At 57.4% G+C, this 25,382-nt stretch overlaps 1 protein-coding gene across 6 annotated transcripts in view, besides 10 other annotated features; it reads left to right on the top strand.

The window, feature by feature from the left end:
• The window catches only part of GSE1 (Gse1 coiled-coil protein), a 506,689-nt gene that overhangs the window by 247,067 nt on the left and 234,240 nt on the right, over window positions 1–25,382 (top strand). The window lies entirely within an intron of this gene.
• Window positions 1,745–2,362: an enhancer, noted in NCBI's record as "H3K4me1 hESC enhancer chr16:85451929-85452546 (GRCh37/hg19 assembly coordinates)". NCBI's record gives its function as "activates a minimal SCP1, AML or CMV promoter by ChIP-STARR-seq in primed H9 embryonic stem cells {active_cell/tissue: H9 hESC(primed)}" and the evidence as "EXISTENCE:reporter gene assay evidence [ECO:0000049][PMID:30033119]".
• Window positions 3,486–4,327: an enhancer, noted in NCBI's record as "H3K4me1 hESC enhancer chr16:85453670-85454511 (GRCh37/hg19 assembly coordinates)". NCBI's record gives its function as "activates a minimal SCP1, AML or CMV promoter by ChIP-STARR-seq in primed H9 embryonic stem cells {active_cell/tissue: H9 hESC(primed)}" and the evidence as "EXISTENCE:reporter gene assay evidence [ECO:0000049][PMID:30033119]".
• Window positions 3,486–4,491: a biological region, named in NCBI's record as "H3K4me1 hESC enhancer GRCh37_chr16:85453670-85454511".
• Window positions 4,182–4,491: a silencer, noted in NCBI's record as "silent region_7805". NCBI's record gives its function as "represses an Ori minimal core promoter by ATAC-STARR-seq in GM12878 lymphoblastoid cells {active_cell/tissue: GM12878}" and the evidence as "EXISTENCE:reporter gene assay evidence [ECO:0000049][PMID:35858748]".
• Window positions 5,985–6,279: a silencer, noted in NCBI's record as "tiled region #8888; HepG2 Repressive non-DNase unmatched - State 4:PromP, and K562 Repressive non-DNase unmatched - State 8:EnhW". NCBI's record gives its function as "represses a minimal TATA promoter and a strong SV40 promoter by Sharpr-MPRA in HepG2 and K562 cells {active_cell/tissue: HepG2 | K562}" and the evidence as "EXISTENCE:reporter gene assay evidence [ECO:0000049][PMID:27701403]".
• Window positions 17,944–18,604: an enhancer, noted in NCBI's record as "H3K4me1 hESC enhancer chr16:85468128-85468788 (GRCh37/hg19 assembly coordinates)". NCBI's record gives its function as "activates a minimal SCP1, AML or CMV promoter by ChIP-STARR-seq in primed H9 embryonic stem cells {active_cell/tissue: H9 hESC(primed)}" and the evidence as "EXISTENCE:reporter gene assay evidence [ECO:0000049][PMID:30033119]".
• Window positions 19,264–19,923: an enhancer, noted in NCBI's record as "H3K27ac-H3K4me1 hESC enhancer chr16:85469448-85470107 (GRCh37/hg19 assembly coordinates)". NCBI's record gives its function as "activates a minimal SCP1, AML or CMV promoter by ChIP-STARR-seq in naive H9 embryonic stem cells {active_cell/tissue: H9 hESC(naive)}" and the evidence as "EXISTENCE:reporter gene assay evidence [ECO:0000049][PMID:30033119]".
• Window positions 19,924–20,582: an enhancer, noted in NCBI's record as "H3K27ac-H3K4me1 hESC enhancer chr16:85470108-85470766 (GRCh37/hg19 assembly coordinates)". NCBI's record gives its function as "activates a minimal SCP1, AML or CMV promoter by ChIP-STARR-seq in naive and primed H9 embryonic stem cells {active_cell/tissue: H9 hESC(naive and primed)}" and the evidence as "EXISTENCE:reporter gene assay evidence [ECO:0000049][PMID:30033119]".
• Window positions 23,834–24,354: an enhancer, noted in NCBI's record as "H3K4me1 hESC enhancer chr16:85474018-85474538 (GRCh37/hg19 assembly coordinates)". NCBI's record gives its function as "activates a minimal SCP1, AML or CMV promoter by ChIP-STARR-seq in naive H9 embryonic stem cells {active_cell/tissue: H9 hESC(naive)}" and the evidence as "EXISTENCE:reporter gene assay evidence [ECO:0000049][PMID:30033119]".
• Window positions 24,355–24,874: an enhancer, noted in NCBI's record as "H3K4me1 hESC enhancer chr16:85474539-85475058 (GRCh37/hg19 assembly coordinates)". NCBI's record gives its function as "activates a minimal SCP1, AML or CMV promoter by ChIP-STARR-seq in naive H9 embryonic stem cells {active_cell/tissue: H9 hESC(naive)}" and the evidence as "EXISTENCE:reporter gene assay evidence [ECO:0000049][PMID:30033119]".

Consider the following 25,382-nt stretch of genomic DNA (forward strand, 5'->3'; position numbering starts at 1 on the left):
GGGCCTGCCAGACTTTCAGGGGCCCATCACATCCTGTACATTTCAGCAGCCCTGCAGGTTTCCTTGCTAAGAGTTGCTAAGCAGGTTTCCTTGCTAAGATTCTTCATGGGAACCCAAGAGTCCCTGGCAAAATCCACTTTCGTGGAATTACAGGTTCCCTGGGTCACGGCTGACTTGAAGGCCCAAGAACTTGCATGGATCCCGGGGCTTCTCAACCTTAGCCCTGTGGAGTTTTTTGTTGGTGGTGGTTTTTCTTGTTTTGTTTTTTGTTTGTTTGTTTGTTTTTTTGTTTTTTGAGGCAGAGTCTCACTCTGTCCCCCAGGCCGGGGTGCAGTGGCACGATCATGGTCGCTGCAGCCTCAACCTCCCAGGCTCAAGTCATCCTCCCATCTCAGCCTCCTGGGTGGCTGGGAGTACAGGCACAAGCCACCATGCCCGGCTAATTTTTTTGTATTTTTTTGTAGAGCAGGTCTCACCATGTTGCCCAGGCTGGTCTCAAACTTATGGGCTCAATCGGTCCCCCGGCCTTGGCCTCCCAAAATTACAAATTATAGTTCAAATTACAGGTGTGAGCCACCATGCCCAGCAGCCCTGTGGATATTTGGGTGAGATAATTTTGGGTGGTGGGGGCCATCCTGTGCACTGTTGGGTGTTTGCCACATTCCCAGCCTCAACCCCACTAGATGCCAGTAGCACTCACTCCCCGAGTTGTGACAACCAAAACATCTTTTGATATTGCCAGATGTCCCCCTGGGGGCAACATCACCCCCGGCTGACCACCTGCACAGCCTGTCAGGCCGCTAGTCTGCTGGAAGACCCGAGCTGGAAGAAGATCCTTGGCCTCTGTGTTCTCCCTGCAGCCTGGAGAGGGTCAGAGCACACGGTTTCGGACTCCCTCTGGCTCTAAGTGCCTGTGGTTTTAGAAGGGCCGCCCAGGTGTGTGTGCAGCATAGCGGTAGGAAGCTCACCTCTACCACTGCCTCCAGAGTGTCTGCATCAGCGGGTTAGGTGGCTCTGTTGCCCCATGGGTGGCCCAGGCCGCTTTGGCTGCCAGATGTCCCTGGGTATGGAAGGCTGGGGCCCAAGGCCAGTGGGAGAGGAGGGGGCGCTGGGCCCAGGCTATTCCCAAGGCTAGAGCAGAGGATCTCAGTGTCCCAGGGCATCAGCATCCGTCGCAGGACGTGTTACAGTCCTGAATGCTGGGCTGCACCCACAGCATTTCTGATTCCATGGGTCTGAGGCAGGGCTGAAGGCTGCATTTCTTTTTTCTTTTTCTTTTGAGATGGAGTCTCACTCTGTCGGCCGGGCTGGAGGGCAGGGGCTCGATCTCGGCTCACTGCAACCTCCGCCTCCCGAGTTCAAGCGATTCTCTGCCTCAGCCTTCCGAGTAGCTGGGATTACAGGGGTCTGCCACCATGCCCAGCTAATTTTTGTATTTTTAGTAGAGATGGGGTTTCACCATCTTGACCAGGCTGGTCTTGAACTCCTGACCTCGTGATCCACCCGCCTCAGCCTCCCAAAGTACTGGGATTACAGGCGTGAGCCACCGCGCCTGGCTGGAGGCTGCATTTCTAACAATGCCGCCATTGGCCCAAGGGCCACATTGCGAGTCACCATGCCAGACGGAGGCAGGTTGGGGAAATGTGCTCCGGGAAGCGTGCTGAGCAGTCTTTTTAGCTGCCATGAAGCCAGTAACATGCAAAGTCACAGAGGTGGGGCTGAAAGGTCCAACCTCCAAGGCATGGGACCCCAGGGTCGCCCCAGGCACGGCTCCCTCAGAAGCAGAGGATGATGCAGCCCACTCGCTGCCTTTCCTGGCACACTGCTTGTCTCGTCTACTGCTCTTTGGCCATCTCCTGTGTTTCTCCTGGCTGCCCATCCAGATCAGCCCTTAGCACAAGCCCCGCCTCCTCCAGGAAGCCCTCTCTGACTGCTGTAGCCCAGCCTGCTCAGGAACAGGCACACACAGGCCAGCAGCCTTCCTGCCCCTCCCAGGAGCCAGACCCAGCCTCTCAGCATAGAGAAGCCACTGCTGTCTGTGGGACGTTGGGGACAGGCACCATCAAGAGGACACAGTCTAGTGCCAAAAGGAGAGAGAGTCCTTCCAAGGTACTGATGCAGGATCCCCCTGGCCACTATATGAGGAATAGAAAAAGGGGGACAAGCCGGCAAGCAGGGAGCCACCAGAAGACTGCTGCAGGGATCCAGGCAGGACCAGGGTGGCAGCTTTGTAGGGAGGGATTGGATTTGGGAAACGTTTTGAGCATAGAGCTGTCAGGATTTGCTGGCGGAGCAGAGGTGGGATAGGAGAGAGAGAGAACCTTAGAACATCTCCAAGTCTGTTGACTTGAGCGGCTGGAAGGTTAGTGTTGCCAGGAGGAGCAGGTTTGGGGGTGGGAGAGGCGCTGGAGCTCCGTCCTGGCCATGTGAGAGCTGCCGTGAGACACTGTGCGGAGATCCAACTGGCAGTTGGATATTTGAGTCTGGAGCTATGAATGTGGGCGTCCCAGCGCACAGATGGCGTGTAAAGCTGGGAGACTGGGGAGACACCTTGGGAGTGAGTGACGTGATGGGAGCCCAGGCACCGAGCCTGGGGATTCTGACAGTCAGAGGCTGCCTTAGTCTCTGCAGGGACAGCAGTGAGGGTGCCCGGGCCCTGCCCTTACAAAAGGTTCACCTCATAGAGGGCGCTAGAGGCCACCTCAGGAGGCAACATTTAGAGTCGGGGTCAGGGTTTGAGAATATACCAGATGGCCGGGCGTGGTGGCTCGTGCCTATAATCCCAGCACTTTGGGAGGCTGAGATGGGAGGACTGCTTGAGCCCAGGAGTTTGAGACCAGCCTGAGCAACATAGTGAGACCCTGTCTACGAACAAAAGTTAGCCAGGCGTGGTGGTGCACATCTGTGGTCCTAGCTACTCGGGAGGCTGAGGTGGGAGGATCGCCTGACCCTGGGAAATCGAGGCTGCAGTGAGCCATGACTGCATCACTGTACTCCAGCCTGGGCAATAGAGCAAGGCTGTGTCTCAAAAAAAAAAAACAAAAAACAAAAAACAAAAAATAACATTATGCCAGAACATGCCAGCCTTTCTCATGCCTCGGGTGCAGTCGTGTGCAACGGTGAATGCACGTTGGAATCAGCTGGGGATCTCTAAAAACCCCTCTGATGCCTGCCTCCCCCGCCCCGCCCCCACCCCTCCAAGACTCTGATGGAAATGGTCCGAGTAGGGCTTCTGCAGGGCCAGCCAGGAACTCCACAGGTGAAGTGGAGTGGGCAGCCAGGGCTGACCACCACTGCTCTGGGAGGGTCAGAGTCGGGGGGACTGGGCTGGAACAGAACTGAGGGACAGCAGGGGCAAAGTCTGAGCTAGGAAGGCCCCTCTGAGGCCCAGCTGGCAGTTATCATGGGTCTGTGAATGCTGAGCTTGACATCGGGGCCAGGGATGCTGAACAGAACAAGTCCCTGCCCTAAAGTGTCTAGAGGGGTCTGACGGGTGCCCTGGCAGACACTGAGCAGTGTGCTCAGGCCAGACGGGTGGTGGCTCATGCCTATAATCCCAGTGCTTTGGGAGGCTGAAGTAGGAGGACTGCTTGAAGCCAGGAGTTCGAAACCAGCCTGGGCAACACAGCGAGACCCCATTTCTTTTTGTGTGCTTTTTGTTTTTTGAGACAGGGTTTTGCCCTGTCGCCCAGGTTGTCGCCCTAGTACCTCTGGAGGGAGTGTGGCCCTGCGGACACCTTGATTTCCAACTTTGGGTGTCCAGGATCGTGAGGGAACGTACTTCTGTTGATCTAAGCCACGCAGTTTGTAGCTCTGGCAGCCCTGGAAAGCTAACACAGGATCAGGCAGGATTTGCTTCTGTCTTGTCCTCCCTCCCCATCGCCATGTCTCCTCGGAGGAAGTCCCCGCTGCGGAGGACCCTGGGGCTTCCAGGGCCAAGGGGGGTGGCACCATTGCTCTCTGGTCACTCAGGGCCCATGTGCCTCCTTTGTGTCACCACCATGCGTCCTCCAGTGACGCGACTCACAAACACTGGAGGGCCTGCAGCAGATGAGGCCAGCCCACTCGGCCCACCGGGCATGCTGGTGCTCAGATTCCACTATGACCACACCTGTGATCCGTCAGCACTCTCAGGGGTGGCTAGCCAGCAGCTGCCTTCCCTTGGGGAGCCAAGGGCAGGTGGCTTCCTCTCGCCCTGGGTGGAGTGTAAGGGCCTCCCACCAGGACCTCTAGAGAGGCTGCAGGGCACCCGGCCGCAGCCTGGAGCTGCAGTGCCGCGGGCCTCCACACGGGGGCGCCCCTACCGGCTGCGGCGGCGATGGCGGCTTCACCCGCGGTGTGAGACCGCGCTGTCCTGCAGGGGGCGCGCTGCAGTCGGGCTGCAGCGTCTGCGCCGCCACCGCCTGTGCCACGTGACGCTCTAGGCCTCAGTGGCCCCCTCTGTAAAATGGGAATCATAACAGAGCCTACTGTTATTACCCGGGGGCGTTGGGAGGATTAAATGAATTGATATGTTTGGTGTTGAGCACAGAGCCCGGCACGCAGTGGGCGCTGTGAAAGTGTGTGTTAAACCAAGAGAAACAGGAAGGGCAGGGCTGGGCAGTTCGGAGTGCAAGCAGGCACCCTCCTGTCTCCTGGACGGGGACCCCCGCCAGCGATTTGGGCCCAAGACTGGGGTCCCTGGGGGGGTCTCTCGGGCCCTGGCCCCAGATTGCAGGGGGATGGGAGCCTAGGGCATCCTGCGGGGGTCCTGCTTTCCACAGGGTCACCCCAATTTCCACACCCTCTGGACACTCAGCACCGGGAGATGCACCCCAGAAAAGAGCACAGCAAGCAGGGGCTCCACCGCCTCATTCAACCAGGAGAAAGCTGGGGCACAGAGAGGGGCAGGGCCTGGCCCCAGGATGCTCAGCCCAAGCTGGGTCTCAAACAGCAGCCCCAACTCCTTCATGACTTGTTAATTCAACAAACAGCTGCACAGCGATTTTCTGACCAGGCGGGGAGGAGAAGGCAGGTTTTCGGGGCTGCTGGCAGCTGCTCATTTGCAGGCCCGAGCTTGTGAACGGTTTCCACCTGGGGGCGTCGGGGGTGCTTCCAGGTACCATTTGTTCCTGCCTGGAGGGAGCCCCTTCCCTCGGGGAACCAAGGGCTGGTGGCTTCCGGTCGTCCTGGGTGGAGGCTTAGGGCCTCCCACCAGGAACCCCAGAGAGGTAGATGGGGAGAGGGTAGCTGTGTTTCCATGCTTGTATTTTTGGGGGGAATGGCTTCCGGGGTGAGGGGCCGACTTCAGGGCCTTTTTCCTAAAAGAAGCTTCAAGGCCGGCCTCCTCTGGCAGGCCCATGCTGAGGGCTTTCGAAGGGATCCCGTTCAGCCCCACAGCACCCCCCTTGAGGTAGGTGTGATCATTGTCTTTCCGGGGGCCCCTCTCCCATGTAGGCTCATAGTGGGCAGAACTCCCGCCCCACGGCCCATGTACAGGAACAGCCCAGCATGGAAAAGCTGCACCTCTGACCCAGGCAGGCCATCATCGAACCCCCATGTCCCCAGGGTGTGCCCGGGTCATCCTCGCACCCCACCTCGGCCCCCTCCTCCCCTGGTCCCTGGCTGGGCTGCAGCCACAGCTTCTTCTAATGGGTTAAGTGACTTTGCATCAGACACAATCCCGTTGACATTATCGGCATGAATAAAAGATGAGATCTGCTAGGGGTGGCTGTCAGGATCCTCCCCGCACAGGCGAGGCTCCCGGCAAGACTGACAGTAAGAGGCTCTGCGGGAAGGAGCTGGGCGGGGCGGGGGGGGGTGCCCCTGTGGAGCCACTAAATGAGGGATGTCGGTTCCTCCCCCGGAGGCCTGGTGGATGGGAGAAGCCTGGGGCCCACGCGGGAGGCAGTGTGGGGTGGGGCTGAGCAAGGAAGGGAGGAGGAGGAGGAGCAGCGTGCGGGAGTCCCCTTGTACACACGTTCACGGAGCAGCCACTGTGGGCCTTGCCCTGTTCTGGCCAAAAGAAAAAAAAAAAAAAGCAGACAGTAGGAGAGAGAAAGGGGCAGGAGAGAGGGGGCGTTCTGGCCGCAAGAAGCGGCATTCTGACCTGAAGGAGGCGAGAGGAGAGAGATCCAGGCAGAGGCCCTGCAGGTGCAGAAGCCGCTTGGGGACTTGGGAGGCCGGAGCCAGGGAGTGAGGAGAGAGGGGTTTGGGGGCGCTGCTGCCCTGGGTTTGGACTCAGCAGACTCTGGAAAGCAGGCATTGGAGGAAGGGCGGCTGAACCCTCTGGCTGCTCATTAACCAGGCCTGACGCTCGGGGCTCCAGGGGTGGGGCCGCACCCCGCTTGCTCACCTGCCTGGCTGCTTTATCTTGACAACAGATTGCACAAACCCCAGAGCTAATATTGAACTTGCCTGGCTTTTAAATAGCACCTGTAAACACCACTACTCCCAGCCCCTGGTCCACACATCCCTGCCCAAGGAGGCATTGAGGTGAGGCTGGCCCCAGGCACTGCCTCGCAAGCACTGAAGTGGAGCAGAGTCAGCTCCCCAGGAACCAGATCCTCATCATTTGCCCCACCCCTGATGAGCGAAACCTTCTCTGCTCACCTTTTGTGCTGGAAATGGTCAGGGGAACCCTTCTCTGCAGGGAAGGGGCAAACGCCCAGCCAAGCTGGAGAGCCATTTCCAGACCTGCATGGACGTCCTCCCTGAGTGGCAAGGCCAGGCCCTGGGTCAGGCTCCAGCCGGAGATGTCCAATGGCCTCACCCATCGCTGCCTCGGGGGCTCCACCCAGCTGCTGCTCTGCCGTGGCCTCATTCTGCTGCACCTGAGATCCCTGGAGGGCTTCGGAAGTCACCCCCAGCCAGAGTCCCAGCTGCTGTTCCCATCCAGCTGGTCTGGGGTGGCAGGGTTTGGCTTGCTTAAAGCTGGCGATTCCAGTGTGCAGCCAGGGCCTCAACACAGGCTGGGGGGCCGCTGAGCCCCTGGAGAGCCACCATGCACTAACATGGGAACCCCAACGAGAGAGGAGTTAGGGGGCTGTAGAAAAGAGAATGCGCAGTGGGGTAGGGGTGGGACCTGGGTGGGTGGGGTGTGGCCTGGTGTCCAGAGTGGGAGTCTTACTCCACCAAGCAGACCAAACCGTGGCAAGCGTGTATCCCTCTCTCTGTCGCCGCATCCATCCACCTGTCCATCCATCCACTCTCCCACCCACCGCTGCACTTGCTCTCCCTTCTCCTGGAATGCTCTCCCCACGGTCCTGGCCTCTGCCGCTCACAGGCAGGGCCCCTGCAGCCCCAGCCTCGTGGGACATCTTCGGGGAAGACCCCCTGAGGCCCCATCCAGGATGTCAGCCCCAGTACCTGCACCCCACCTGAAGGAGTGACGTGAGGCCACTTCCTGGAGGCTGGCACTGCCTGCTCTCCTCGAGTCCCTCCTCAGCCCTCACCTGCATCCACCAGGGAGGCCAGAGCCTCCTCCATCCATGCCCCACAGCCCAGACCTCAGGATGCTCTTTGGAGCAAGTGTGTTCAGAAGAAGAGTGTTCTGGGGTCTCTTGAAGGAACCAGAAAGAAAGCTCTTGTCCTCCTAATAATGACAACCCGCTTTAATGCATTTGTTCGTTCATTGGGGGACTTACTGAGCACTGTGTTCACAGGACTGGGATGGAACAGGGCACAAAGCCCCCGCCCCTCCGGTGCCAGCGTACAGACATCTTACCCAGAAGTCGAGGCTTGAGGTTCTTGGCGACGGCAGGGTCGCCGCTTAAAACATTTCACCTGTTCGGCCCGGGGCTCATGGGGAGGCTGGGGGCTTCCTGGTGAGAGGCCAGACCTTCTGGAAGCAGCTTGCTGGGGCCACAGGATGCAATGGCAGGGTGTCAGTTAACCAGCCTGGCTGGACACGTGGGGACAAGCCACATGGGAACCCGCCAGCCATGCCTCTAGCCCTGCCTGGCCCTGGGCATGTGCAAGGCTGCCCCTGAGCTGGCCTGGCCGCCTGCAGCCTCCGCCCTCTTCCTTCTCTCCCAGCCCGCCAGGATCTTGCTCACATACTTTAAAACAATCTAAAAGTAATTATTACAAACAGGCTGCTTGGGAACACCTGCTCCCGCCGTCCCTCGGAATCGCTAATGTTCCTGCGCCCAGCACTGACAGGCGCGAGGGCTCCTCACGCCCCGAGTCGCCAGATGCTCTGCGCCATGGCACCCCCCTCACCACCCCCTCTGCGTGGCATGGCGAGGGCCGCTGGAGCCTGTGTTTCCAGCGCTGCCCGCGCAGCTGTCACTTACAGCGATCAGTGGAAAAATCATCACCCCACGAAGTCATACATATGGAACATCATATTTGCAGAATATTTATTTTAACATGTGTCAGGGCCTCTTCGGGTTGCAGGCAGAGCTCTGCCTCCCATGCCAGGCAGCTGGAGCAGGGCAGGCAGAGGGCCAGGGTGGAGAGCAAGCTCCGAGCAGGCTGGGCTGGACTGGACTGGGCTGGGGGCCCCGGGCCACTCACCCAGGACTCCGGTCGGCCCTCCCTGGGCGCCCTGGGGCGGGGGGTTGTCCCAGCAGCCACTTGCATCCCTGGCTGTCCCTGCATTGTCCCAGCTGCCTGTTCTGTACCATCTCAGTTAGGGGCCAGCCACGATAGAAGCTGCTTGAGGCATTTCAACAGAGAGGATTTGACTCTTGGCACTGCTGAGCAGGTGCTGGAGGACCCAGAAGGCAGGAGGGGATGCACGGGTGATGTGAGGTGGTGACAGCAGGAAGCAGCCCCACCCCCAGGGCCAAGGGAAAGGGTGGAGTTGCTGGACCCAGAGGCTTGGTGGAGGATGGATCTGGGACTGACCTTGGAGGCAGGTGTGCTGCCGGGCTGGAGCTGCGAGTGTCAGGGGAAGGGAAGTCGCCCGTGATGCTCATGAGACAAAACCCATCTTGTGGTGGCAAAAAGGGGCTGGTCTCCTCCTAGCGGGATTTGGAGCGGAGCCACACCGATGCACGCTTTGGCGGAGACTGAGCCGCAGGGAAGAGGCGCAGTAAAGGATGTTGTCACCCAAACATGGCCACCCCACCCACCCTCCAAGGCAAGCCTGCCCTGCCCACCCAGAAAGTCATGCAGCCCCGCTTACCCATCGCACTGAGCAGTCTTATCTCCTGACCACTTACCACTAGGAAGAAGCAATTTTGTTCCCATTTTACAGGAGACTGAGGCTGAGAGACGAAGTAACTTTTACTTTGGTTAAAAATCCATGGCAAGTAAAAGGCAAGGAAGAATCTGAACATCCTAGACTGAGACCTCACAATATCATCCCTTTCTTTTAGATGGGGAAACTAAGGCATGGAGCGGTGGAGTTTCCTGCCCACAGTTGTTCAGCTTGTCAGTGGCGAGGCCGGGATTCAAACTTTAGACAGTCATGCTCTGGAATCCACACTTTTAACCACCACTCTCTAAGAATGAATGGAAAATGGATGGATGGATGGATGGATGGATGGATGGATGGATGGATGGATGGGTAGATGGATGGGTGAATGAGAGGGAGGGAGGAAGGAAGGAAGGAAGGAAGGGTAGATGTATGTATGGATGGATGAATGGATGGGTGGGTGGGGTGGATGGATGTATAGTGGATAGATGGATGGCTGGATGGATGGATGGATGGATGGTAGATGGTGGGTGAATGAATGTGGATGGATGGATGAGTGAATGGATGAATGGATGGATAGATGGGTGGGTGAATGGGAGGAAGGAAGGAAGGGTGGGTGGGTAGATGTATATATGGATGGATGGAAGAAGGGTGGGTGGGCTGGTGGATGAATGGATGATAGATGGTGGGTGAATGAATGTGGATGGATGGATGAGTGAATGGATGAATGGGTGGGTGGAAGGAAGGAAGGAAGGGAGAAAGGGAGGGAGGGAGGGAGGGTAGATGTGTATATGGATGGATGGATGGAAGAGTGGGTGGAAGGGTGGGTGGATGGATGGATGATTGAATGGTGGATGGATGGGGGGTGAATGAATGTGGATGGGTGAATGAATGGATGGATGGATAAATGGAAGAAGGACAGATGTAGGTAGATGGGTAGGTGGGTGGATGGGTGAATGGAAGGAAGGAAAGAAGAAGGGAGGATGGGTAGATGGGTGGGTGGATGGATGGATGGATGGATGGATGGTAGATGGAAGGATGGATGGATGAATGAACCACAGAAAAATATCCTCTTAAGCTATGTTATTTCCAGTCACTGGGAGTGTGCTAAATTAACCCTGGCTTCAGCCCACTTCTGGTGGCTCATGCATCCTCATCTTTTATTTTGTAGGGAGAAGTGCTTGAAAAATGTCTGGTGAGGGTAGAACAGAACATGGACTGTGGTGTGTCCCATAGACCTTGGTTTGAATCCTGACTGTGCCCCTTACTGTTGAGTGACCTGGGGGCCTCAGTTTGCCTGCCTAGGAAATGGAGCTATGAGGCTGTCCCCGCTTCTGTCCCCACCTATGAGCCCAGACCTCACATTGGGAACAGGCTCAGTATGTGGTGGCTATGCAGTGTCAACCCCAGCACCAGCACTGTGAGTCCTGGGGTCCTGGGAGTGGGACAGCAGCTGCCCGCAGGTTCAGGCAAATTCAGCCCTTGGAGAAGTATCTCCCAGACCCTCCAGGGTGCCTGAGTTCAAAGCAAAGCAACACTGTCTACGGATTATACAACTCAGGCACAAATGTGAGCCACGTGCTGGCTTAGGTTTTATTTCCAGTAGTCACCTTTAAAAAAGAAGAAAGAGTGAAATTGATTTTAACAATATGTTTTAGGCCGGGCGCAGGGGCTCAGGCCTATAATCCCAGCACTTTGGGAGGCTGAGGTGGGTGGAGCACCTGAGACCAGGAGTTTGAAACTAGCCTAGGCAACATGGTGAAACCCCGTCTCTAGTAAAAATACAAAAATCAGCCGGGCATGGTGGCAGGCACCTGTAATCCCAGCTACTCGGGAGCCTGAGGCAGGAGAATCGCTTGAACTCGGGAGGTGGAGGTTGCAGTGAACCAAGATCGCGCCACTGCACTCCAGTCTGGGCGACAGAGCAGCACTCCATCTCAAAAAAATGGTGAAACCCCATCTCTACTAAAAATACAAAAATTAGCTGGGCGTGGTGGCATGCGCCTGTAGTCCCAGCTACTCAGGAAGCTGAGGCAGGGGAATCGCTTGAACCCAGGAGGTGGAGGTTGCAGTGAGCCCAGATCGCGCCACTGCACTCCAGCCTGGGCGACAGAGCAAGACTCCGTCTCAAAAATAAATAAATAAATAATATGTTTTAACAAACCCCATATATCCTGTTACTATTTCAGCACATGGACAATATTAAAAAATATCAGTGAGATATTCCATATCCTTATTTTTGTCCTAAATCTTCAAAAGCCAGTGTGAATTTGAACCTAGAGCACATTACAGTTGGACCCAGCCACATTTCAAGTGCTCCATGGCCATGCGTGGCCCGTGGCTGCTGTATTGGACAGGACCTGCTGCATTGGACAGGACCCAGATAGACCCCTTGTTCAAGGGGCTTCGGTGCTGGGAACTGGTGCATCTCGCCCACCCTTGTCTCTTTGAGCCTCTCCAGATCCCAGGCAGGAGGGAGAGCAGGGGCTGGCCCCTCATTAGCAGGGCAGGCTGAGGGCCCGAGACAAGGTCCAGCCCCGGCCCTGGGCTCCTGACCTGGGCTTCCTGCACCACCCAGGATTCCCTCGTGCCTTGGTGAGAGCTGTGAGGGGCAACGATGGGCAGAGGCAGGTAGGTGTCAGGCATGGCATGGCTCTAACTTCGGAGCCGACCGTCTGGCTTCAGAGCTCAGCTCTGCCACCTGCTGGCCCTGTAACGCTGTGTAAGTGATTGAACCTTACCAAGCCTCAGCTTGCTTAGCTGTAAAATGGGGCGATAATCGCCCCTGCCTCACGGGGTGCTGAGGCAGTGACGTAGCGCTTGGAACCAGCACTGCTAGCAGTTTATTCCCCTGCCTCACTAAGACAAGGTGTTTTGGGTCCCTGTGGGGTTTCTGGAGTGGGCAGGTGAGTGAGGCTGCAGGCCAGCCCCTGAGGGCGGTCCTCTGATGGGGACACCTGGCTGAAAGGTAAGCCCTCCCCTGAACTGGACTGTCCACAGCCCCAGAAGATGAATTTCACTGTTGGCTCCTGTTTGAATTCACCTCCCACCCCCCATTCTAGTTACCAGGGGTCCAGTGGGTGGGAGCGGGCTGGGGGATCCTTGGCAGTTAGGGGAAAATCGATTCTGCTTCCAGTAGACAAACGCCTGGGGGGTCCCTGGTGTTGACAGCAGACCAGTAAACTGTCTTTGTCACTGGCCGGTGAGCTGTGGCCACCGTCCTGGGCAGCTGGAGTGAGCAGTAACATTTGTAAGGTACTCCTTCTGCCCAGCCACCTTGGAGAATCTCAGCTTCATAACACAGCAGCGTGCACAACGCACACATACAACACGTGCACATACATGGGGCGCCTACAGCTCCGAAGCCTCCGCACGCTGCATCACTCACGGTAAACAGCCGCAGGAGCAGCAGGTGCCTGCTCATCACAAGCACATGCAACATACATGCAGAGGTGCAGGTGGGGAGACAGCCCAGGGCATGCACGCCTTCTCAGGACACACAGCCCCCGCCCAGGACCTGTGTCCGGAGCACCCCCCAGGATGCCCGGCAATGCCAGGTGCCACGGTCACATTCTGTGTGGCATGCATCACTGGCATGTTCTGCCACGGGCATGTGCATGGAGGAGCTCCCCGCAGGGTCTTCTGTCTGGGGGCAGAGCTTCTCCATGCAGGAGTTGCGCTGCTGCCCCGAAACATCCTCCCTGGAAGCCGAGTGCAGAGGAACCAAGGACGGGGGCTCTGGTGGCAGAGGCAGGCACAGCTGTGACAAGTGCGAATCTGCTAGTGAGGCGTCATCATGTCCCTCCTTGCCCAGAACCTTCCTGTGGCTCCCATGTCCCTGGGGACAAAAGCCAGAGTCCTTAGCCTGGCCTCAAAGCCTGGTGTGATCTGTTCCATGGCCCCCAGCATCTCCTGTCCTCACCTCCTCCCAAGATCTCCCTTGCTGGCTCTGCTCCAGCCCCACAGGCCTCCTCCCCTGTCCTCAGACCTGCCCCAGGGCCTTTGCCCCCACTGTTCCCTCTGCCTGGAACGCTGCTCCCACCTGCACAGCCCTGCATGTGGCTCTGAGCCCCCTTGCTTCCCGCACAGCCTCCACATGGCCTCCTTCCATTCCTCGATTTTCCATTTTTCTCCAGAGCTCTGGGTCACAGCGAGCTTACTCATGGATGTGTGTGTGTGGTTATTCTCTGTCTCCTTGCTGAGCTGTCAGCTCCACCAGTGACCTGTTCTCCTCCGTGCAGTTCCCAGGACTGTGAACAGAGCCTGGCATTCTGCGGGGGCTCGGTAAAAACGTGCAGTAAGCACAGGTCAGGGAATTTCATTCATTCTCCTGTCTCTTCACCTCCTAGTCCTCGGGGAATCCATCGGGGGTTCAGTCGGAGCCCAGTGATGTGTGAGCAGGGTCCCTGCAATATCTAGCACTTTTTGAGCACTTACAACATCCCAGGGGCGAGGCTAGGAACGTTGCCCGTGAGCACATTTAATCCTCACAACCTCATGGGTCATGAAGCCCATTTGACAGAAGAGGAAACAGATAGAATGCAGTGAAGGATGAGGCCAGCCCCAGAAGCAGTTTGGAGCAAAGAAACACACAGAAGGAAGAACCGAGATCAGCCATGATAATGGCCGGACACCCAGACAGCCTCCCGTGCAGTCCTCATTCCCAGTCACAGATGGGGGAAGAACCACAGAGAGGTTCAGCAACTTGCCTAAGGTCACCCAGCCCGGTAGGGCCAGAGCCAACTCCAAGAGGGACACAGGTGGGAACTGTGCTGGGAGGGTGGCCAAGGGAGCCCGGCCTGGGAATGACCTTGGAAAACTTGCCCTGCACCTCGAAGGCCAGGCCAGGGGGCGGAGGGGTGAGCATGGAGCCACACAGCGGCGTTCAGCCCTCTCCACACGGCAGTCACTTGGGAGCTGCATGGAACGGGGACGCCTGGTGCCACCCCCAGAGGCTCTGGCTTGATAGTCCCCAGGTACGGGCTGGGCACAGGGCGGCGGCAGTCTAGGGCATTCGTCTGAAGGGCACCGCTGGGGAAATCCTGACGTAGGCACACACGTGCATGACCTGCCCGCCTCCATCAGGGCCTGGAGCGGAGGTCCCCCCACTTAGCGGGCAGCAGAATCCCCTGAAGGCAAATGCAGGTTGCCGGGCCCTGCCCCGGGGTCTCAGACACTGCAGGTCAGCGTGAGGCCTGGGAGCCTGCGTTCCCACCCAGCTCCCAGGAGAGGCTGCCGCTGCTTAAGACTCTGCACTTTGAGAGCCGCTGATACAGAACATTTCCAGCCCCGCCGCAAGGCCCTGGGCTGAGGGTTTTTTAAAGCTCCCCAAGTGATTTTTGAGTGCAGCTCAGGTTGAAAGCCACTGCCTCGGGGGGCGGATTTCTCACATCCTGGATTCAAGCCCTCCTGAGCTTGGCTCAGAATTGCACCAAGCTCCAGGGGTGTTAATCTGCAAAACCTCTCAGTCTAGCCTGATAGGGCGGCAGGCAACGTGAGGGGCGCGCAGGAGCCAGAGACCCAAGGAGGGAAGCCCCTGGGGTGAATGTGGAGGAGCTGCTGGCAGAAGCCAGCCTCCAGGCCCTGTCCATACGGGAGCTCGCTCAGGCCCAGCCCGCGGTGCCGCATGATGGCGTATGGCAAAATCTTTGTGTTTTCAAAGAGAAGCCAGAAGTCCAGATTTTTCTGTCAAATCTGATTTTTAAATGTTGGCAACTAATGCGAAAATACAATTCTTACGTTACCGCGGGGCGAAAAACACACAACGCCCCTACCGTGTTTGCAGGCCACACTTGCAGAGCGCGTCTCTGATCCAACGCCTGCTGTCCCCAGATCTGATCCTTTGAGCATCAGGGCTGGAAAGTCGCCTCCGGGGTGGTGGCCGTGGCAGCCTCAGAGGTTTCTGCCCGTGCTCCCCGAGACACTTGGCCATGGCACCTGCCTCCCGCCATTGGCCTTCCGTCCTCCTTCGGAGCGAAGCTCCACCCAGCCCACCTGGACAGGAGCTGGCCTGTCTGGCACTCTGAGCACCCAGGGCCCAGAGGGTATCTGGGCCGCCTTGCCTCCCTGGCCCCCCAGCCACCCACGCACCCTCTCCTGACAGCTTTATCAAGCCTCCAGCCTTCCCAATCCCATTGTTCCTGACATCTGTTTCAGTAAGTGATTAATTGCAATTAGCTAGCGGTTTGAAAGCCCTGGAAGAATACTCAGCAGAAAACTCATCAAGATTAATGAGTGGCGGGGCTGTGGGAGGGGCATCCCAGGCACAGCACGGCATGGGCGCCTGGTGGAATCCTCGCCGCCTGGGCGAGTGCTGGGACGCACACCGGAGGTGACCGTCTAGCTGCACGCCCCCGAACTCACCCCTCACCCCTCTTCCCCCATAAACGACCACTGGCTGACTTCTCATCAAAATGCATGAATTACCCGCTAATAGGCTATTAATAAAGCCCTTAGAGTGTCATAAGGTTAGGTTCTATGCATGCAGAATGGATTGCCGTGCTTCCAGAACATTCTGCCATTGGCCAAGACGGGCACGCCCAGATGGAGGAGGGAGAGGGTCTGTACACAGCCATCCCTTCCAAGTAATTTTAGGGAACTGAGGATGCACTTGAAATCAACAGTCAAGTCCGTATTGAAGTGAAACCTCCTCCCCAGAGGTGGGAATTCTCAGTAGCGTTCACTTCACAGGCAACGAGAGACTGGGTGGGAAGAGGGAGAGAATGAGCTTGAAGCTCTGACCCAGCCCACTGTCTCCCAGGTGCCGAGCAGCTGAGCTGCACATCCCAGAACACACAACTGCACAGGGTTCTTTCCACGCTTTGCTTGCGTGTTCTCTTCAGGGCCCTGCCTGCAAGCACATATGTTGCACGTCGTGGCAGGTGTCATTTGTGGGGCATATTTTATGCCACCTTTGTGTGTTTCCACGGTTCTCAGCATCTCTCCTCTTCCCCCATTTCTAATGAAAAAACAGGCATTCTTGAGGGACCACTGTGTATCAGGTGTTTTCCAGGTATTCTCTGCAATGCTTCCAACAGTCCTGAAATGCCCCCAGTTGACAGATAGGAAAAGCAAGGCTGGGATGCTTCAGCAGCAGGCCCCAGGTGCACAGGTGAGGATGGAGCTGGGATTTGAACCTCGGTCTGTCTGGTTGGGGATTTTTGCCTACCCCGGCACTCTCTGCAGCTCTATACGGGTCATCCTGTGGCTCCAGGACTTACTGGGGTGGCAGATAGGGACTGATCTGGCATCCAGAGGCCTAGAGCGGTCACACTGTGGATGGAAGAGCCCCGTTTTTATCTTGTGCTTTTTCAGATCTGCTTGGGGGATCAGGTGATGATAAGTCCCCCCCAGAGACTTCCCTGGGGCAACTTGGAATGGGGCTCAGGGGTTCAGGGAGGCTCAGCACCAGCCCCAGGCAGGTGCTCTCTTGTTCAACAGAGGGCCTCGAGCTGTGGGCGAGTGATGCAACCAGCCTTGGGTTCAACACTGGCCCCAGACATTCTCTTGCTTGGTTTACATTGTCATTTTCATTTAATCTTCATAAGAACCCCAAAGAAACATCTCTTATGCCCATTTTACAGGCAAAGGAACTGAGGCACAGAGAGGTTAAGTCACCTGGGTCCAGTTACCAGATTATAAAAGTAGAGTTGTGATTTGACTTCAATCCTTTACTTTCCCACAAATTACTTTCCCTGCCCTCGGCCAGCCTTAGAGAGAGAAGCAGGAGTGCACACCACTGGCCGTGATCCCTGGCCACCCCCAGGGACCTCTGCTGCCCACTCACTGTAGCGTCCTGACAACTCTGGGCCCTGCTGTTTGGCATTGGTGTCTGTATCTCTGACCAGATGAAGGCTGTGTAGATGGATGGATGAAGAGAAGGATCCTGGATGGATGGATGGATGGATGGATGGATGGATGGATGGATGGAGAGATGATTGGGTGAATGTTGAATGGATAGATACTTGCATGGGATTGGATGAGCAGAAGGATAGATGGGCCAGTGGATGTTGGATAGATGGTGGATGGAGGGTCAGATGGATCAATGGATGCTGGATGGATGGATGCTGGATAGATGGATGTTGGATAGATGGATGGATTTTGGATGGGTAGAGAATGGATGAATGGATGGTGGATAGATGTTGGTTGTACAGATGGATGGAAGTGGTTTGGATGGATGGATGGATGTTGGTTAGATGACTAGATGGAAGGATGGAAATCTCTGGCTCTGGGAGGGGAAGCAAGAGCCATAATTCCTCATATCCCTAGTGGAAAGGGGGACTAACTAGCTCCAGCCCTAGGCCTGCTCAGCTGGGCACAACCCAAACCTGAGGGCCTGTGGGCACCAATCTCCCACCCAAAGGGGCAGCAGAAATTCTCCAGTATCAAAGTCTGAAGGACTGTGGCCCAACTCCTCACCAGGAAAGAAACTGAGACTCAAAGATGGGAGGAGACTTGCCATGGTCCCAGGATTTATTTCCCACAGGGCTGGGGACTGCAGCCTCATTTCTGTGACATACTAAGGGTCCCAAGGAACGCCTTACAGCCCCTCCTGCCCCATGAGCACCATCTAGGGCATGGCCTAGGAGTCACTAGGATGGTGGTCTAATAATAATAATAATAATAATAATAATAATAATAATAATCAGTGCCGTCCGCCTCCTGTATACCCGGTGTCAGCGCTTTACTTGTATGTGTAACTCCTTTTATTTCCCCAGTAATCCAGTAAGGGAAGGACTGCTGTGTTATTACCTGCATGTTACAGATGAGGAAATTGAGGCACAAAGAGGTTGAGCTGTTTGCCCAAGGCTCCAGTTAGAAAGTGTCAGAGCCAGGCTGGTCACGGCAGCTCATGCCTGTAATCCCAGCACTTGGGGAGGCTGAGACAGGCGGATCACTTGAGGTCAGGAGTTCAAGACCAGCCTGGCCAACATGGTAAAACCCCTTCTCTACTAAAAACACAAAAATTAGCCAGGCATGGTGGCACGCATCTGTAATCCCAGCTACCGGGGAGGCTGAGGCAGGAGAGTGGCTTGAACCCGGGAGGCAGAGGTTGCAGTAGCCAAGATCGTGCTTCTGCACTCCAGCCTGGGAGACAGTGAGACTCTGCCTCAAAAAATAAAAGGAAGTATCAGAGCCAGAATGGAAAGACAGGCCAGGGGCTGGGCTTGCCCATCTTGGTCTGCTGCCCCGTCCTACTGGGGTGGGCCCCTGTGGTCGCAGCCTTTCCCTGTCCCCTCCCCAAACTGGCAGCAAGGCGGCTTCGTGGCTGTGCAGCCTCAGCAGTCACACAGGCCCCACACTCAGGAGGGCCTACGCTTGGTTTTATTGCCCTGGTGTTGCCATCTTGATGCGCTTAATCATTTTGGAACAGGAGGTCCCCATTTTCATTTTGCACTGGGGTCCCTCCAGCCCCATAGCCCCGATTCCCTGTCCAGGTCAGGCAGAGGCCCAGGCAGGCTGAGATGTGGCAGCAGGGCCTAGATGCCCAGAGCCTCGGCCCTGCACACGCCAGGAGGTGCCCTTTATGGAGCAGCCTCCTGGGGGGCCTGGCCTGGGTCCTCCTTCTCCCCAGCTCTAGAGATGGAGACCTGTGCCCTCCCACCACCCCCTCCCCCACTGTGGTAGAAATTCCTCTTAGACTGTGCCCTCCATGGAGGAGCAGCCTTCCAGGGGGCCCGGCCTGGGTCCTCCCTCTGCCCAGCTCTAGAGATCGAGACCTGCACCCTCCCTCCCTCTCCCTCGACTGCAGCGGAAATTCCTCTGAGCCTGTGCCCTAGATCTGTCACAGCCCCCCGCAGCAGGTGCGCCCATCTGACTTCTGGGGCGGGTCCTGGGGGAGGGGCTGGGGGCTGAGGGAGGGGAGGGGTCTGTTGCTTTCCTGCTGCCCCTGCAACTCCTCCCCTTGAGTGGGTTTTGAGGGGGGATCTGGGCTTGATGGGAATGTCTGAGAGGGAAGGGGAGAGGGAGAGACGGTGTAGGATGAGGATGGCCTGGGAATGGGCAGCAGAAATTCCCTCTCCTGACGTCTCCACGCAGCTCTGTGACTCCATCCCTGCCTGTGTGTACCTCAATTTCCTCATCTGTGCAAGAGGCCTGGGCTGAGGGTTGACCAGGGGCCGTGCACCCAGTGGGCCCTTCGGCTGTAGGTGGATCTGTGGGTCCCATGTTCCCCAGGCAGGAAGCTGAGGCCACAGGGGACTTGTGTGTGCCTAAGTCCTTGGTACCCCACCAGCCCCATGTAGTCACCCCAGAAGGCAGGTGGGGTCTGGGGCTCCCGGATCTCACCAGTGTGGTTGGCGTGGGTCTGCATTTCCAGGGCCAGAACCCTGCTGGGCAGCTTCCAGAAGCTTCTTTAAGCTGTCTGCATCATCGTACCCCCCAACCTCTACAGCCTTCCAGAAACGTTAGGAGTCAGGGGTCACTGAGTGGCCTTGCCCAGCCCTGGGTTAATGGGGTAGCTCCTTGAACTTCCTGTTCTCTCCTCCAAAAGTTCACCCCTAAACTCCTCTCCTCTCCTTCCCTTGCTCTTAGCAAAGCAGCCCGTGAAGGTATCAGAGCGCAGGAGTCCTGCAAGCCAGCTTTTCTTATTCCAGTTCTGCAGGTAGGGAATTTGCCCAGAGAGCTCAAGACACTGTCTCCGGCCACTGTGGATCCTGGCCCAGCCCATCCTAGCCCTGAGTCCAGCCCCAGCATCCCGGCGTCTCTGCTCAGTCAGCCACACTCCAGTGCGATTCTGCCAATCTGCCCTCTCCCTGGTTGATCTTTCATTTTACTTGGGGTAACTCTTAGCCTAGAATGCAGGAGGTGGAATTTGTTTTTCCCAGGAACAGGGGGCCTCCCTTCCTCTGTGGGGGCTAACAGTGAAACTCGGCCCAGAGTGTGAAGGCGGGGACCTCGGTAGCCCCAGTGGGGTTAGGATTTGACCTCCCAGAGAGTCCCGGGAGGCAGCTCTAGCCCCAGGCCCGGCCAACTGGGCAAGGCCCAAACCCCGAAGGGCCCGTGGGCGCCTGTCTCCTGCCCGAGGGGCGGGCCAGCTGCCTGGCAGAGTCCCCGCTGGCCAGGTGCCTGGTTCCGGGCTGGGACCCCACGCGCGCTGCCAGGCTGCCGGGCTGGTGGTGGGAGCCCGCAGGCCAGAGTGTGGGCTGGGCTCGGTTCCCCCATCCCACGCAGTGGGCGGCCCGGGACTGTGGGGGCGGGCTGGAGGCAACCTTGAGCTCATCAGTGGGAGACATCTGCTTAAAAAATGTGGGGATGGGGAGGGGAGGTTACCGTCGAGGTCGACGCGGCGGAGCCCGGGCAGAGGCCTACTCCCCTCCCCAGCGACTTTTGGCCTCTGAGCAGATGGCGGGGGCGGGGGCATGGGCGCAGCCGGCCGGTCTCACAAGCTACCACACCCATGAAATTTCCCATTAAGGGAGGTGGGGCGACGAGGCGGCCTGCCCCTCCCCACAGTCCCCCAACCCTCTGAGGCCATCTGATCTCCCTCCCTGCGGACGCCTCCGCCGCCGGGCTCCCCAAGGAGGCTCCTGGGGTCACAGAGGCCCCCTGCACGCCCTCCAAACAATCTTCAACCCCCAAAAGAAGTGGGGGAGGGGCGAGGAGTGCCGAGGAGGCCTTTTTACATGTAAATAGAAGAACTGGCCTCCTGGAAGGCTTTTTTCCCTCTTCTCATTTTTATTTCTAGAAAGCAGGATGTTGCCAAGACCCGGGGCCTCCTGCTGGACCGGGAGGCAGCCGTATGGTGCCTGGGAGGAGAAATAAGGAAATAATGACATCTAGGGAGGCGGCACCCACACCCACCCTGGGGGAGGAGGGAGCTACGTGTTTGCACAGCCCTGCGGGTTCTACCAAGGAGAAGGACGAGGAGGGGCAGCCACATGCTCGGGGGATTGGGATCGGAGACCAGGAAGGGATCTGGGCTGGAGCCTCAGCCTGCGCAGGAGCCGCCTGTCCTACCTGTCTCCTGCCCCACCTGGACCTGTTTCCCCACTTAAAAAAGTCAATCTGCCTCCTAGTTACCTTCCTCCTGTCTAGGAATCCACAGATCAGGGCTGGGGGATCCAGGAGGCCGAACACCACCGCCTAGAGCTAGCAGGGGCTATGTTCAGTGGTTGGACCGGCTCTGGGTTTAAATCTCCCTCCCACCCTTTCGCTGTGTGGTGTCAGGCATGTTGCTGAACCTTTCTGAGCCTGCCTCCTTGATGACAATAGTACCTGCCTCCCATCATAGGGTTGCATGGGGATTAAGTCACTTATGTGTGGAAGGTGCATAAATAACAGCTATTCTAACTAGTGTTATTACTGCTCAGGAGCTAGTTCCGTGTCCGAAGCTCTTCCAGGCTCATCTGGGGGAGGCGGGAGAGGGGTTCTGTTCTCAGCACCCCAGGGGCTGCCTACCTTTCTCTGTGTCCCCCGGATAGGATACTGTGTTTTCGTCTCTGCCTCCCCCGTCAGTCTGTGAGCCCCCACGGGGTACCTAACACAGGTAGACACTCTGTAGAGTGTGTGGAATGAGAGAGTGAATGAATGAAGACTTGATACTCCAGATGCTGGAGGATTCAGCCCAGCCCGGGGGACCTTGCAAGGCCATGCGGTGGTGTCTTTCCGGGTCTGTGCTGCTCCTTGCTGGGGAAAGTGGGGAGTGGTGGCCTCTGGGGAGGGACAGGAGGCGGAGGGGCGCACCCCGCTCTGTTCTTGGTACCCGCGCCTGCCCAGAGGTCCTTCGTGGGCAACATCAGCTGCCGCCTGGAGAGGCTCTGTGGTGGTGGACCTGCTCTAAACGCTGCCTCACTTAATCCTCGGGACAATCTAGAAGGTAGGTGCTGTCAGCCTCTTCTTTTACAGATGGGGAAACTGAGACCCACAGCAGTGGAGTCACTTGCCCATGCTCTTACAGCTCGGAAGGGAGTCACCAGAATTCACACCAAGCAGTTGCTTCCAGAGCCTGCGTGTCCCAGCCACAGCCTCTTGGGCCTCTGTTTTTTGAATGACTGCTTGAGCGAGTGATCGCTGCCTTGAGTTCTTGGGGAACTTTGTATAAAGTAGGTGTGAGCACCTGAGTTTCAGGGGTGAAGAAGCAAAGGGTGCTGGGACACTCAGCTGTGGCTGGCAGAGCTGGGACCAGCCCTCAGGTCTGTGGGCACTGTCTGTGCAGCTCCCGTACTGACCACTGCGTCCTGGGAATCTACCCGTGCAGTCCTAGGGTAGGGATCCCCCCGCGGCCTCCTGCCTGCCTCCAGGGGCCACCTGAGCAGGTGTGGGCCTGCACCTCTGCCCCAGGCCCTGTGATCAGAGTCAACCTCCCCACACGGTGAGGCAAAGCCAAGATCACCCACAAAGCCCAGGGGAACATGAGAGCCTCCTGACCTGCCCTCTGGCCCTCTGAGGCCCCCAGCCAGGGCTGTCAGGGGTCATTCAGCAGCCACTCTGTCTGCAGACCCGGGGGACGTGCCCTGCCTGCCCTGGCCCCTCACCCGGCACTGACCTGGATGGTGATTTATGTGGCTGAGGCAAAAAGCCACTGAGGTGGGGCCCGGGAACAGGGGTTAGGACAGCCAGGAGGCACCAAGAATGAGGGTGGTGGCCTGCCCCATGACCCAGGTGGCCAGAGAGGGGCAGTGGGGGCGGCCTCGGGCGCTGGCCTCCCTGGGGCAAGATGAGGCCTTGATTCCTGCCATCTGGCTCTCTCAGCCTTGGAGGCTGGGGGTGCCCCTCCACCACTGGCTCAAATGGCCGAGCAGGAGGGGGAGAGACAGATGGCAGTGGGCTCACAGAGGTAGAGGGTGTACTTTGTTCAGAGGCACTCACAGGCGGGGAAACACACGGTCTGTCACACACACACACACACACACACACCCCAGGCGTCACACTGAGGTGCTTTGTAATTCTCGGCCTGTGTCAGTGGGGGGTGGGCTTCTGATGGGCCTGCAGGTCCAGCCTCGCCTGGTGAAGACACTCCCCAACACACACAGACATGCATGTGCACACACATACATGCAACAAAAGTGCACACACAGGTGCTCAGAGAGCCACAGATCCACATGCATGCACACACACAGACACACACACAAAAGTGAGTGCACACATGTGCACAGAGATTACAGATCCACAGGCACAGATGCATGCATGCACACACAGACACATAAACTCACAGGCATGCACACATATGTGTACACAGGTACACACAGGCATGCACACCCACAGATACATACATGCATGCACACAGGCATACGCAGAGACACTCAGGTACACAGACACACATTATTACATATGTGCACATGCATGCATATGCAAATATGCACAGTACACAGACTGCACAGAGCTCCACAGACATACACTTGCACCTTCGGGTTTAAGCCCTGAGCAAATTGACATCCCGTGTCTTGTTCTCCACAGTGTCTCCAGTGCCAAGCATGGGGCTGGGTGTGGTAAATGTTTGTCGAGTCAGTGAATGCATGGATGGCTCGAACCGTGTCTTGACTCAGCAACACCGGGACCAGTGGGGTCTGGAGGTGAGGATCAGGAGACAGTCAGCCCTCTGCTTTGCTGGAGACTGGGGAACACCTTTAGGACATTCAGAGAAGGACAGCTGCAGGCACAACTTGCTCTAGCAAATCACAAGCCTGGATTGAGGCCTCAGGATTCCTTGTACCGTGTTCCTTTCCACTGCCCAGAGATAGCCAGCTGCTGGACTAAGCACTTGCCATCTGGGGGAGGCGCTTCCTTGGGTTCCAGAAGTTTCACGTGCATCTGAGATGAACCTGCTGCAGCAGGAGACGGACAGCTGGCCAGTCCTAAACATCGTCTTTCTCACACCCACCCCAGAATGAGGACTCGGCTGCTGATCTTCAGCCGACACTGGGAGGACCTGGGGTTAACTTTGCCAAGGGCCACACCAGATTCCCTGGCTGGGGTCAGTGGTCACTGGTCAGCTGGATGCTAACCTGACTGGGTCTCATTCCCTGCAGCTTTTACTTTTTTCAGGTTGGGTAAGTTCTGGTGCTGAGGCCCCAGGAACCATCACGGGGGCACAGCGCGGCCTGGAATATGCCCGTGGAGGTGGGGCCTTGCTGGGAGCTTTTCCTGCAGCTTTGGAAACTGTGGGCTGCAGTGAAGCCAGGCAGGCCACATCTGTGCCCTGGGAGGCCAACTGGCTCAGCCCCGGCCTGGCTTCCCGAGGACGCGGTCCCACCGGAGTCCTCACCCATCATGCGGGGCCTCGTGGCAATTCGAGCCCTGGGCCACTTGCCGGGGGTGGGCCTGAAATGCACACGTCCAGCCAGCTCCCGGGAGGCCAACGCATATGCTGGGCCACACCTGAGGAACGAGGGGCTGGCGGGGAGATGGGTGGCAGCTGATCCCAGTGCTGTGGCAGCAGAGTGTGGACTTCAGGGAATTCCCTGGGGGCTGCGGGATGGGGATAGGCTGGGGTTTCTCAGCCTCGGCACTGTTGGCATTTGGGCTGGCTCCTCCTTTGTGGTGGGGGCTGTCCTGTGGATTGTAGGACGTTTAGCACCATCTCTGGCCTCGACCCACCAGATGTCAGTAGCACCCCCCAATTGTCAAAACCAAAAATGTCTGCAGACATTGCCATTTGTCCGCTGGGGGGCACAGTCACCTCCTAGTTGAGAATCACGGGGTTAAGGGACACTCACAAAACAGGGGACGTGGTCTGGCGTGGTGGCTCACGCCTGCGGTCCCAGCACTTTGGGAGGCTGAGGTGGGTGGATCACCTGAGGTCAGGAGTTTGAGACCAGCCTGACCAACATGGTGAAACCCCACCTCTACTAAAAATGCGAAAATTAGCTGGGCGTAGTGGTGTGCGCCTGTAATCCCAGCTACTCAGGAGGCTGAAATCGCTTCAACCTGGGAGGCAGAGGTTGCAGTGAGCCAAGATCTCACCACTGCACTCCAGCCTGGGTGTCAGAGTGAGACTCCGTCTCAAAACACAAAAACAAAAAACAAAACAAAACATAGGACATTTGAGCTGGGTCTTGAGGGGTGTGTAGGAGTTTTCCAGGAAAGGCTGTTGTGATAGAAGGAAGGATCAGAGAAAGACACCAGGATTGATGGCAGTGGGCTCCTCCTTGGCCTCCCTGCCTCCCCTCTAACCCCTGCAATGCTTTCTCCTCGCAGCAGCCAGAGGGACCATTTTAGAACATCCGAGAGCCCATTTCACTTCCCTCGCCAAAACCCCCTACATCATAGCAGCTCCCTGTGCCGCTTGCAATAAAATCCCAACTCTTCACGATGGCCT

The sequence above is a fragment of the Homo sapiens genome, chromosome 16, assembly GCF_000001405.40.
Source record: "Homo sapiens chromosome 16, GRCh38.p14 Primary Assembly".
NCBI classification, from domain to species: domain Eukaryota; kingdom Metazoa; phylum Chordata; class Mammalia; order Primates; family Hominidae; genus Homo; species Homo sapiens.